This window comes from Homo sapiens, chromosome 5 (assembly GCF_000001405.40).
Source record: "Homo sapiens chromosome 5, GRCh38.p14 Primary Assembly".
In the NCBI taxonomy this organism is placed as follows: Eukaryota; Metazoa; Chordata; class Mammalia; order Primates; family Hominidae; genus Homo; species Homo sapiens.
Genome location: NC_000005.10, coordinates 106,070,400 through 106,084,855, shown reverse-complemented (window position 1 = coordinate 106,084,855; position 14,456 = coordinate 106,070,400). Strand labels below are relative to the sequence as shown.

At 31.4% G+C, this 14,456-nt stretch overlaps 1 annotated feature.

Annotated features, from left to right (window-relative positions):
• Positions 4,021 to 4,221: a silencer, noted in NCBI's record as "peak5394 fragment used in MPRA reporter construct". NCBI's record gives its function as "represses an SCP1 promoter by STARR-seq MPRAs in K562 erythroleukemia cells {active_cell/tissue: K562}" and the evidence as "EXISTENCE:reporter gene assay evidence [ECO:0000049][PMID:32103011]".

Below are 14,456 nucleotides of genomic sequence, written 5' to 3'. Positions count from 1 at the left end.
GTTAAGTGACTGGGCAAAAACAAGATATAAGAAGGAGATACTTGCGGGTGTGGTTTAAATAAAGAACACAGAGTGTGAACCTACTAACAGCAAAGACATTATTGAGAAAAAATAACCAAAGCTCAAACATGAAAACATGAAAATTAAATACTCATGAAAAAACAGCTAAGAAATTAAACAAAATGTTGAAAAACATTGTTATAGCATGACCCATGTCTAAAAATATCATGAATTGTGGAAAACGTCTAGAAGTTATATATTAAAAAACAAGACAAGTTAGAAGCAATATTTTACCAACATCCAAAATATAGATTAAGAGACAGGCATAAGTTTAAATTTCTCTTTTCTGAAATTATATTTTTCATAAATTATGGCAAGTTCGAAGTGAATGTATGTGTCTGCACATTTTTCCAGATTACTTACAAGTGGTGTGGAGAGGAATGGGGTGGGAGCAGATGCTTGGCAATATTTTGGGAAGGTAGTTAATTTTGAAGCAGCTGCTGACAATTTTCCTACAGTATTATTCATCATTTAAAAAAATAAAATGATTATAATTACCCTGATATGTCATATCATGTGTGACTGACAAAAGGAAATGATGGTGGAGATAGACAAAATGTCCACATCCCAGGAGTAGACGCTCATTACTCCAAAACTCCTGAGCAGCAGACTTCCAAGGGATGTTGCCCCAACGAATGAAGCTCAGGTAAGTAATAAAATCAAGCAGAAGGCCTGCAAGTGCCAGGAGCCACCTGATCAGAGCTCATTTAGTGATTGTCATCACTTTGTAGCAACCATGCAGTTAATACCCAGTGTATCTGACACCTGCTATGTTAAATTAGTACTTGCAGAATTAACACCTGCTGTCAGCCACCCAGCATGAATGTTGCTTTCTTCAGAATAAAGGACAAATAAATTATTTCCCTAGAAATTTGTGTAAATTATTTTTGTGGATGGAGAATTACTTGGAAACAATTGGGGACTGGCAATCAAGATTCTTCATTTTTTATAGTGTTAGCACCGTGTGTAACTCATAGTCTTTTTCTGGCTGTCAGTGTAGAAGGCTCAAAATTGAGCTTAATATCATCCCGTGCATCAAACAAGAGACTGGAGGTAAAAATGTTTTCTAAAGTATGAAAACCTATGCAGGTGTGAAGTGGTATGTTAATTGCCCATTAATAATAATCATAATAAATTTGTCATTTTAAATTCTCATAGATTATTTATGAATAAGAAAATCTTCTGTTTTACATTTGCTTGCAGTAGGTTACAGCACTTCTTTTACTCATATAAAACTATACCTATTTCTATTATTACTATACATAATGTATTGGTGTCTTTCTTTTAAAAACGTTCGTGTATCATAATTAATATTATATGTTACATGGTATAATATATAATGTATACACATATGCATATACCATGAGCAAATTACTTAATTCCCTAATATCTATCTCCCTATACATAAAACAATGATATTATTATGGTATAATGTTTCCATTTATTATTACATTATTGTATTATTCTTAGTACAATGCCTGATACTGTAGGATAACCCTTTCCCTAACAAAAAAACAAAATGAACAATATAAACCAAAACAAAGACAAGCCCAAAACATCATTATACCACAAAGATTTCCATATTAAATGTTGTGGAAAACACTATTAAGTATAAAGTTTCTGACTTCATAGTGCTTAAAATGACATTGGGAAAGTGATTTTATCATTCCCTGTAATTCAAAAACAATTAAATAAATATTCTCAAGAAGCAAAATGATAAAGTAGACATTGGGGAAAGTTTCATTTTGAAGAACTAGGGTTAGGTATTAAGAACTTGAAACGGAAGCAAGAAAGTTGCATGACCTCTAGCAGGTAACTTAATTTTTCTTTTTTCTTTCTTTTCCTTTTTTTTTTTTTGAAACAGAGTTTCGCTCTTGTTGCCCAGGCTGGAGTGCAATGGCGCAATCTTGGCTCACTGCGACTTCTGCCTCCCAGGTTCAAGCGATTCTCCTGCCTCAGCCTCCCAAGTAGCTGAGATTACAGGCATCTGCCACTGAGCCTGGCTAATTTTTGTAGTTTTAGTAGAGATGGGGTTTCACCGTCTTGCCAGGCTGGCCTTGGGGTTTCATCATCTTGCCAGGCTGACCTTGAACTCTTGACCTTGTGATTCACCCACCTCAGCCTCCCAAAGTGTTGGGATTACAGGCGTGAGCCACTGCGCCCGACAGGTAACTTAATTTTTATTTGCCTAATTTTTAAAATCTATAAAATAGGGGTGGTGACAGTACCTATAACATAAGGTTAATATAAAGTTATTTAGAGATTTGCACATGGTAAACATCCTAAGGATGTCCATTGTATGTTGAAAAAATGGTGAATCTGAGAAAGGCTTTATTAGTAATTTTAATCTGTGTTGGGCCTTTGTACAATTATTTCAATCCACAGACTTAATGGGGAAAGCTATTCCATGTGGAGGAAGCAGTGTGAACATAAGCATCCTTGGAAAGTGCTGACCATCTGTATATTTGTGATAAATCATAATGGGAAATAAAGCTGAAAGGCAGAGTGGGGCTTTGCCCATGAAGCACCGGAAATCCATAATCAGAGGCTGCTTTTTATTTACAGGTGATAATAATCATTGAAGGTGTTGTAGCGAAATGCCTCTTGTTTTCAGAGGTCAAAAACAAGTAAAAGGTGGTGTGAAAACTGAAGGAGTTTGAAAAAGAGGGTGTTATAATAAAAAGGGTCAAAGAAACTAGGCCAGTGATAATATTTGTCCCTGGCCTCCTGTCTCCTAAATCCTCCTTAGTAATTATCATTCATTGGAACAATTACATATAAACCACGCAGTCCCTAGAACCCAAAATTCAAATTCATTCGTCTTTTCTTGTCTGGGACTCAGGCCATGGACATTAACAAACACTTCTAGAGTGTTGGCTACGTGGAAAATTCTATCAGGAACTTATTGGTACTATAGTATAAAGTTTGCAACAATTATACAAAACTTGAAGAAACAGTTTTAGAGACTAAATTGCCTAAAAGACACCACTTTAGGTAGCCTTTTGTAGTCTTCTTAATTGGATCTGCTAAACCCCAATTTAAAAACATCTGTAAGGATGAAGTGAAACAAGCTTTTGGAATTGAATCAAATACAATAATTTTAAGGCTGATAGCAATATTATTTTTTACACTAGGCATCAGAAACATAGAACTCAAGAGCAGACTAGGCAAGATTCTTCACTAAAGCCTGACTGAAAAAAAAAGGAAATAATTAATTGAGCTAATGTTAATAGATGTGCTCATTCCTTTAGAAAATGACATAAATTCACCTCCAAGTTTACCTCAACAGTCTCTTTAGAAAAAATGCATTGTATGAGGTGAAGGGGCAGCATTCTGAGGACAGAAAAATAGTGGTTTTCAAATCCATCCTTTCTTCTGCCTCCTGGATGTAGGTTTTGGTTTCATGGAGAGATAAAACATACATTTTTAAAAAATGTAAAAGTGACTTTTCTAAACTCTGAAGTATATTTGGGCATAGTTGGTATTGTATTTGGAAACTTCAGTAATAAACCACAGAACAGCTTGATTTTCCTGAGATGGCATTTCAGAACTGTGATGCCAGAGAAAAATTAGAAGCACCGAAATGGCCTTGTGGAGCACTGGAAATTTATAAGCACAGAATAAGGGAAGCATATCCTGTAGAGTCCAAAATAATTGGAGTATTTTACAGAGGTCTAAAGAGCTAATGTTTTAGCAAATGAAAAGTACTAAGTCAGTAAACATGAACATAAAATTCCAATATGACCACTCTGCCCACTAAACCCTACAGTGGCTTTCAATTTTATTTGGGATACATTCAAAATTCTTACAATGGCCTACAAGGCCCTTTGTCAACTGGGCCTCTCATCAACTTTCTGTTCTTATCTCCTTCTCTCAGGGCCAGCCTCATGGGCATGTGACGTGAGCAGCCACACATAGTATGTGTTGGCATAATGCTCTGCTGACTTCTTAAAATTCCTGTTGTTTCCTTGAACATATGATTTGTAAATGAAATCCAATGGATATGCACACAATAGTACACTGTTCCTTGCCATCTCACTGTCATAGAGCATTTGCAATGACCCAAGAACACAGAATCCTTGTGGTTGCATAGTGCATGGATCTTCAGCAGGATTCAAGTGGAGAACAAGAAAAGCATATTGTGTCTATGACTGAGTAATCAGCAGTGTGTTGACAACCCTCAGAAGCTACTCTACATTTGAACAAAAACTTGCATTGAAAAAAGAATGAAGGCAATGGTTCTGAGAAACACAGATAATCAAGGAAACCTATCATAACTTTCTTCCTCATGTTAACACTCATATAAACACTCTGGTATTAGCCAAACACTTATACTGAAAATGATGGCATAAGAGGAATGGGAAAACTAGGGCAACCCTTAATTCCTTTTCTTTTCAGTACTCTGTAAGCTGTGAGGGTTGGGAGAATGTGCATGTATGAGGTAGTAGAATAAAAGCAGTGGAATTTGTTTTTGCACTGCTGCCACTGATAATAACAAAATGCATATGCATGTATTAGTTACAAAATGCAAACTGTGTGATTTCAGTGTTTCTGCATATGACTTAATTGCTCTTACATTTGCATTTAAAAACTCCAGTGTACAACATATAGATAAACAGTAAAATTAAAGGCAATAATTTAGAGGTTTAATTTTCCTTTATTTAGAACAATAAAAAGTAAATTTAAAACACCATGGCAAGTCAAAAGATAGGCCATTAAAGAAAAGAGAAATCTTTATACTGCAGTACCTTAATAGCATTTTCCCCTTCCTTTTGAACAAGGGGCCTCACATTTTCATTTCTCACTGGGCCCCGCAACTTATGTAGTCAGCCTTGCCTATTCCTTTCCAACTACCTCATTCTTATCCAGATGCAGTTGCTCCCTTGTTTCTTCCTGAATGTGCCAAGGTTTCTGGCATTTCAAGCCCTTTACTGTTGCCCTCGCCTCTGGCTGTCATGCTCTTTGCCAGATGTCCCTATGGTAGCCTTTTTCACTTCCCTCACATTATTTCGCCAGTAACACCTTTTCATTAAAGTTGTTTTTTAATCTACTTAACTAAAAGTGTAATCTCCGTTAATAAGAGTATTTGGGATTCTTCTTTTTTTTTAAAAACCTTAAAAATTTAATGGTACTTATCACCTTCTAATTTACTATGTATTTTACTTAATTGATTTGCTTGTTTTCTGTCTGCTTCACAAATATTTGAGAGAATGAATGAATTACTCTCCAGAAACACACAGGGTAAATTATTCATGACTTTTTCCTACAGAATATATCATTTTAACCAAATGACAAATTTTAGGGCTTTTGTGTTTTGAGTTAATATTCAAAATAAGATTGAACTTGGTGGTCAAATGGGATCTGAGTCTTAGTATAAAATTTGAATTCTTTGTCAAGACAATGGATTCACATTGTAATTGTGTAATAAAATTTAATTAAAACAAATAAAAGTTAATATTATAGTTTATTTAATTTAAAATTCTCAACCCATACAAAGTGTTTAGTATAACTTTTTAGTGTTTACTTGAAATTAGTGAGCATTAAACATTCTGAGCAGTGAATGGCAGGTGTTCATTCTAATTTAACAAAGCAGGTGTCAAATATTGTTTACAGGGGCTAACTGCTACTCCTTCTGGAAAGTGCTTTACTTTGGAGTTTCTCCTAATTAGAAATATCTAGCCATCACCTGTCAACTTTGTCTCTGTGGGACAGTGAAATCTTTAGGGAACATGACTTGAGCAATCTTTTCAGATAAAGAAAGGGGAAAAATGCCATTAATTATTTAGAGAAAATTCTTTATTGTCAAAATTATAGCTGCACAATATAATTCATTTATTCTGGATAAATATAATACAGACTCTGAGACTAGTACAATCTGATAAGTAAATTAAATCCCAAAGATGATGTATAAAAAAGCCAAAAAATGCAATGTTAGGTTATAAATTTCATATGTCTTGCATTATTGTGCTTCCTATAAAATTTCAAATACCAACATGTAAGTACTAAGTTCTGAGAATACCCCAAAGAAACAGAGAGGTAAAATGTGTAACTTAATAATAATTTGTTCACTCCAGTAATAGAGATTTTACTACTGCTCAAACTACAAAATAATACTGGTTTCCAGGTAACTGACTCATGTGGATCATTGCTTATACTCACTGCATTGTGACTACTATGTTTTTAAAACTAGGTATACTGTGATTTGTGTTGCAAGGAAAGAGCAAGGAACTTCATCTTCATAAAATAAAACTTGACCGTTCCCATACAGAATGGTGTCAACAAGTTAATGAGGTTTTAGTACCTGAGGAAAGTTACAAAAATGACATTTATTTAATAAGAATAAAAGTATTATTTTTATCTAGTCAAGTCTTTGAATTATATCTAAAAGGCGCAACTATATCATGATACACTTGTTAAATGTATAAACCTCAATTGTTGAGTCCCACCAGTGTCAAGGAATATGTATTAGATTGAACCATATGAAATCAATGAGATAAACACAAGCTATTTAATGTTTAACCTAATGCATGTACATCTCTGCTAGGATAAACTAAATGTTAGTTTTTCACTTAAGTTTGGTTCTCTATATGTTGTGGTGGTGGGAGTGATAGGTACCTGCATAATATGCATAAGGAAAATAAACTGAATGAATGTGTTCTATACCAATTTGGATTAAATTAATAGAAAGATTTTGTTTCAAATCAATTAAGATTTATTTGAGCCATGACTATTCAGCCACCTCAACCTATATTTTCCCATGGTCTCATAAATTTGATACTTAAGTTTTCTTGTTGTAAAGCTATAGTAGCAGAGATTTCTCTCTGTCTCTCTCTATATATGTATATATATATATATATGTAGATATATATGTAGATATATATGTAGAGATATATATATATATATATATATATATCTCCCTCCCTCTCTCTCTCTCTCTCTCACACACACACACATGCACATTCAAAAATTGCCATTGTGTTGATACTAGGCTATTGGAAATTGCAAATTATATACCCTCAACAACAGGCATAGAATCTCTATATTGTAGGTCTCTTGAGGTATTTGAATTGACATCTGAGTTTATTCAAACACCTTTTATTTTATTTATTTGTTATTCCTTTTGATACAGGGTCTCACTCTGTCACCCAGGCTGTAATGCAGTGTCACAGTCAGCCCATTGGAGCCTCGACCTCCAGGGCTCAAGCGATCCTCCTGCCTCAGCCTCCCAAGTAGCTGGGGCTACAGGCATGCACCACCACATCCAGTTAATCATTTTATGTTATTTTTTGTAGAGACAGAGTTTTGCCACATTGCCCAGGCTGGTCTCAGACTGCTGAGCTTAAGTGGTTTTCTTGCCTCAACCTCCCACAGTAGAGAGATTACAGGTGAGAGCTAATGCACCCAGGCCAAACACTTTTTAGAAATGATTTCTTTAGAAATGTGTTTTTTTTTCAAATTCTACTAACTGTAACAGGAAATTTAAGAATGAAATAGCACAAAAAATGGTGATCAATTTGGTTCTATAAGCTAAATATAATCTGAAAATGTAAATTGCAGTGCATTAGAGCGAGTTATTATTTCAATTGGATGTTTCTGTATTATTGTCTTTTGTTATCTGAACATTTTATGTTGCTGGATAGAAACTTGACATATATGGACAATATTATTTTCATGTTATAGAAGTTAGTTTTTGCAGTGCCCTCTCTGCTCTACTGGAAGCAGTGGTTTTGATTTCAACTTGACAGTCAAACTCATACACAATAGGCTTCATTCACCCAGCTCACCTTTACTTTGAATTAGTGTACAGCTGAGGAAACAACAGAGAATATAGATCAACAGCATACTAAATACCTTATGACTTCCAGGCACAGCTTCTGGTGTCCCTGTCATTCTGACCTTGGCACATGTCACAAGAGAAGAGGCTGACCACGTGTGCACAGGCTTCATGAACCTGGGGTTCTTTCAATGTCACCCCTAGTTGGTCATGCAACCTCTGAGGTGGGTATGCTAGCTCCTATTCTCTAGTGTATCGGCGTCTTTTTCATAGAGGTCTCTCATTAAACAATACATGATATCGACAGTTAAGTGTAGGTACTTGGTCCTCTACATAATCTTTGGGGGCATTTTCATTCATGTTGGGCCTGGAGAATCCCTTACAATCCTGAGTTAATATTACAAGAAAAATTGGCAATAGGTTACATCCATAGATGTTCCTAAAACTACAGCAAAGGCCACAGAATTTGCTGCTAACCCTTTTTATATAGGTAGGTAGTGTGAGAAACACAACTATAATGTCCGGTAAATTTGAAAGAATTAACATAGTTTAATAATTTCTTTGAATTTCATATTGAGTTTTATTTTTTTGAGGATGTAAGTGTTTTATTATATACGTATCTTTTATTTTTCCATAGGTTATTGGGGTACTGGTGGTGTTTGGTTATATGAGTAAGTTCTTTAGTGCTGATTTGTGAGATTTTGGTGCGCCCATTGCCAAAGCAGTATACACTACATCCTATTTGTAGTCTTTTATCTCTCACCCAACTCCCAGCCTTTCCAACAAGTCCCCAAAGTCCGTTGTATCATACTTATGCCTTTGCATCTTCATAGCTTAGCTCCCAAATATGAGTGAGAACATGCGATATTTGGTTTTCCATTCCTGAGTTACTTCACTTAGAATAATAGTCTCAATCTCATCCAGGTCGCTGCAAATGCTGTTAATTCATTCCTTTTCATGACTGAGTAGTATGCAAAAGATAAACATTTTAATTTGAGTAACATTAGCTTGATAGGAAGGATCTTGTTTTTCTCATTTAAATTTAATGTTTAACATGTTGGTTAGAAAAATAAATAACTGTTGTTTCAAACAATTTTAATAGACTCAGAAACACTCTGAAAATTCTAGATTCCATTATATATATATTCCTCTATATATTATGTAGATTATATATACTATATAAAATATATTAATTATATAATATATAAAATATATTAATTATATAATATATAAAATATATTAATTATATAATATATAAAATATATTAATTATATAATATATAAAATATATTAATTATATAATATATAAAATATATTAATTATATAATATATAAAATATATTATATACAATATATATAATATATTATATACTATATTATATTTTATATAATATATTAATTATATAATATATATTATATTTTATATAATATATTAATTATATAATATATTTTATATAATATATTAATTATATAATATATATTATATTTTATATAATATATTAGTTATATATAATTTATATAATATATAATATATAATAAATATATAATATATAATATACATTATATTATATATCATTATATATATATTATTTATATACATTATATATATTATTTATATATTATATATATAATGATATATAATATTAATTATATATTATATATTTATTATATATAATATATAATATATAATATATTATATATAATATATAATGTATATATTATTTATATATTAATTATATACAATATATTATATATTCATACATTATGTATATAATATATTATATATAATTCATATATAATTTATATAATTTATTAATTATATATAATATATATTTATTTTTTATAATTTTTTATAAAATTTTATAATTTTTTATAATTATTTATATAATATATTATATACAATATATATTATATTATATATAATATATATTATATATAATATGTATTATATTATATATAATATATATTATATATAATATGTATTATATTATATATAATATATATTATTTATATAGTATGTATTATATTGAGCGTTTTTTTATATTATAATATATATTATATATTAATGTTATATAATAACATTATATTATATAACATATTATATATCATATATATTATATGGAGCATTTATATAATATATATTGAGCATTTTTCATGTTTGTTGACCATTTGTGTATCTTCTTTTGAGAATTGTCTATTCATGTTCCTCGCCCACTTTTTGATGGGATTGTTTGTTTATTTTCTTGCCAGTTTGAGTTCATTGTAGATTCTGGATATTAGTCCTTTTGTCAGATGTATAGAGTGTGAAGATTTTCTCCCACTCTGTGAGTTGTCTGTTAACACTGGTGACTGTTTCTTTTGCTGTGCAAAAGCTCTTTAGTTTAATTAAGTCCCAGCTATTTATTTTTATTTTTATTGCATTTGCTTTTGGGTTCTTGGTCATGAAATCCTTGCCCAAGCCAATGTCTAGAAGGGTTTATTCAATGTTATCTTCTAGAATTTTTAATAGTTTCAGGTCTTAGATTTAAATCCTTGATCCATCTCGAGTTGATTTTTGTATAAGATGAGAGATGAGGAGCCAGTTATATTCTCTTACATGTGGCTAGCCAGTTACCCCAGCACCATTTGTTGAAAAAGGTATCCCTTCCCCACTTTAAGTTTTTGTTTGCTTTGTCAAAGATCAGTTGGCTGTACATATTTGGGTTTACTTCTGGGTTCTCTATTCTGTTCCATTGGTCTATATGCCTATTTTTATACCAGTACCATGCTCTTTTGGTGACTATGGCCTTACTATATAGTTTGAAATCAGGTAATGTGAGGCCTCCAGGTTTGTTGTTTATGCTTTGTCTTGCTTTGGATATGTGGGCTCTTTTTTGGTTCCATATGAAATTTAGAATTGTTTTTTCTAATTCTGTGAAAAATGATGATGGTATTTTAATGGAAACTGCATTGAATTAGTAAATTGCTTTTGGCAGTATGGTCATTTTCATAATATTGCTTCTACACAACCAGGAGCATGGGATGTGTTTCCATTTGTTTGTGTTGTTTACGTCTTTTAGCAGTGTTTTGTAGTTTTGCTTGTAGAGTTCTTTCTCCTCTTTGGTTAGATATATTTCTAAGCATAATGAGTTTTAAAAGATCAGAATTTAGCAAGCAAAGCTTTAATTTGTTTTCTCAAAAACTAAAGTGTTTAAAATTTTGAAAAATGTTATCTTTAGTATTATGTAAGTGTACAGTATAAGAAAATTGATTCTTTGTTGTATAAAATAAATCAATTTGTGAAAACCATATGGTAATACAGTTTCAAGTTGAATACTGTGGGTCTTTCTAAAATTAATTTAAGGATATAAGTAATATTGCACATATGTTATCTCCTCATATATTTGCAGATAACTTGGTTTACTGTATTACTTTCAAAATGTACTTTCTTATGAAAGTGTTCATTGTGGTAACTTTATTTGATATATTTTCACCAGTTCATATTGACTTTTTACTTTAGGGTTATTACTGTTATCACTTCTAAGAGCAGGACCACTTTTTTTTTTTAGTGCAAAATATCAACTTTTTTGTGTTAGATGACATTAAGCGTATTATTTATCTAATGTTTTCCCCAAATCCATAATATTTTATTATCCGAAAAGAAAAATTTTAATTTGAGTAACATTAGGTTGATGTGAAGGATCTTGTTTTTCTCATTTAAATTTAATTTTTAACATGTTGGTTAGAAAAATAAATGTGTTGTTTCAAACAATTGTGATAGATTCAGAAACACTCTGAAATTTCTAGATCTATTTTGATATATTGATAGAGAACATGGACATTCTAGAAATCTATTAATGACATTCATTGATTAAAAATTCAAGTTAGAAAAGAAAAATTTATATTCAAATATTCAGGCAAGTGATAAATCATTTGTTTAATTGAATGAATAACATAAGGCACTTACCCTATTTTCACTCACAAAAGTTTCTAGTGCTATTAATAACTTTCTTCTTGAATTGCAGCACAAATTGGAAAGAATAGATATCATTGTTGAATTACTTTCATTCAGGCTGACAAACAACGATAACCTTGCATTAACTGGTCAACTGACAGGACCATTTTTTAAGGAATATCAATCAAAAGAGAACCCAACTATAGATATAAATTTAAAAGGAACATAAAAAGTTGGGCTTTAGCAGATCTACATCTAATTGAGTCCACTATTAATTAAAATCAGTGAGTGTCTGCAGGTGTAAATAAGGGATAACTTGCTCTATTTTTATAATCACAAAGAGTATACTATATGTGTAAGTGAAATTATCAGATACATAGGTCATAACATTGATCAGAATACACTACCATTAGGTAAATAAATATCCCAGACTTTTGAATCTATGAAGCAACAAATATGCAATCACATATAATTGGTTCTCAATAAACAGTAAATCACAGAATTCAGAACTTTTAAAAGAGAGATTTTCCAGAAAATCTGACATTATTATTTTTCATTGTATTGTTTGTAGTATTACCTAACAGTGAAATTTCTATGCTTTATAAATTTGGATGTTTTAAAGAATAAATAAGAGCACAAATGAATTGTGCATAATCCAAATGCAATTATGATAGCTGACTAAGCAGAATCCAAATTATTAAAACCACAATCTAAAAAACAGTCGTAATAGCAAAAGGCTGCATTTACCTTTCATGAAGTTATTTAATTTTAACAAATTTAGAATGAATTTAATAAATGATTCTAGGAAATTCTGTATTAAAAATCACATTGGAACCCGATAATCTGTTAAGCACATTAATCAATATCCATATACTATTCTTTCTAGTAAAATCACAAAGCACTTATACACTGCGAAAGTAGTGCAATACTTAGTTTATAAAAATATAATTTTATCTGATTTTATCTTCTCACAGTAATGATAAGGTTATTTTAGTGATTTAAATATTAGAACTACTCACTTGAATCAGCTGATTACAATAAGATTGTGTACTTAGTGTTTGATCTTAAACAGCCAATCCATTTTATTATAAAGACACTGCCTTAGGTTCCCCTTTTGGCTATTAAAATTTAACTTGTCTTGTAATTTAGGCAATGAAGGATCTGTTTAATCAGTTTAATAATTTTAAGTGACTGTGTTTGACAAGCAGTTCTTTTCTGCTTTCAATTAGTCCCTGATGTAGACAGCCAGATCTGATAATTCGAAAGTGTGATTTTTTTTTTTAACCTGAATTATCTGGTTTGGTTTACCACCTTGGTGAAGTTAATTGAAAAGTTGCCAAATAGCCACTTCATGCTGTGCTGTGCAGACAGAGCAATAGCATGTTTAATATACCAAATGGTTGGATAGATAAATACGATGAAAACAAGATGCTTCATTGCCATATTTATCTTCAGCTCTTCAAACAAAACATGGCCTCACAAATCTGGCATCTCATTTTGGTTATCATTGTGATTATTGCCATTGCCAAAACCAAATTTATGGGTTGATCCAGGCAAATCATTTATTAATCTTATGAAAGAATAATATATATCAGTTAACATCTTAGAAATGTATACCTATTTAGAATTAATTTATTTGTTTGGCTGAACATATTTCCTTCTTTGAAGCTTCAAATTTGGATATTAAAGAATTCTTCCAGATTATTTGTATGTTTCTAGAAACATTTCCTTTATAGTGTTATTTTTATCACATATGTTTCAACCACCAGTACAAATACTACTAACTCCTCACTATTTTTTTAAACACATTTTATAGAATAGTTTGTATCTTGGTTTTTTAAATGAGGCTTTCTGGATAACTTAGAGTTGCCTTTGCTTCTATTATTCTTTTTATGAAGCTTTTTAATACTCAATATTTAATTCAATTGGCATTTGGATACTATACATTTACTTTGTTGATTTTAATGGCTTATCATAAAAAGGAAATGCTGAAAATATGAAATCAAACTTGTTGAGATGATAAGTTTCATGATTTTACAATCCTGATTTCTATTTTTATAGAATTAATATTTCAATTAACTAGAGCTAAATTCCATTTCTTTATTTTCTTAAATAAAATACAACTTTGCACTCCCGTGAAGTTGGCTGAAAAATTGAATCTTACAAATGTTGCAGGTGTGCTTTTTCCATTTGATGAGACTATATGGGAATTCTGGAAGGTTTGGAGCGCAGAAAATCACAGAGTGAAATAATTGCCTTGACTGTTCAAGTGGTCCTTGACCTTGCTTGTACAATCCAGCCTGATTCCCAAGTCAACAGCAGTTCTCTTTTTCTGTGCCATAAAAGTGACTGACTGGGCCACTCTCAGCCTTCAGATTTTTCATCCAGAAGCTAGGCTACAATCTAATTTTTTAAACTACTGCAGGAGATACATATCAAGTTCTCAGAATAGTTCTCTTAAAGCCCTTTCCACTAGACTTCAAGTGAGATGGGGGTTTCCTGGTTGAGACAGGGGAATAAAAGAAAGGTGGAACTCACAGCTGTTCAGTAGCTTCTGCTAATAGAATTCTCTACAACTCAACATCTTTGAATCAAATTCTTACTACAATTCTCTTCTTAACAAGAATAAATCACCTGAGTCTGACCTTATTTTGAAATTTTTCCATGATGGGTTGTCTTACATCTCACTT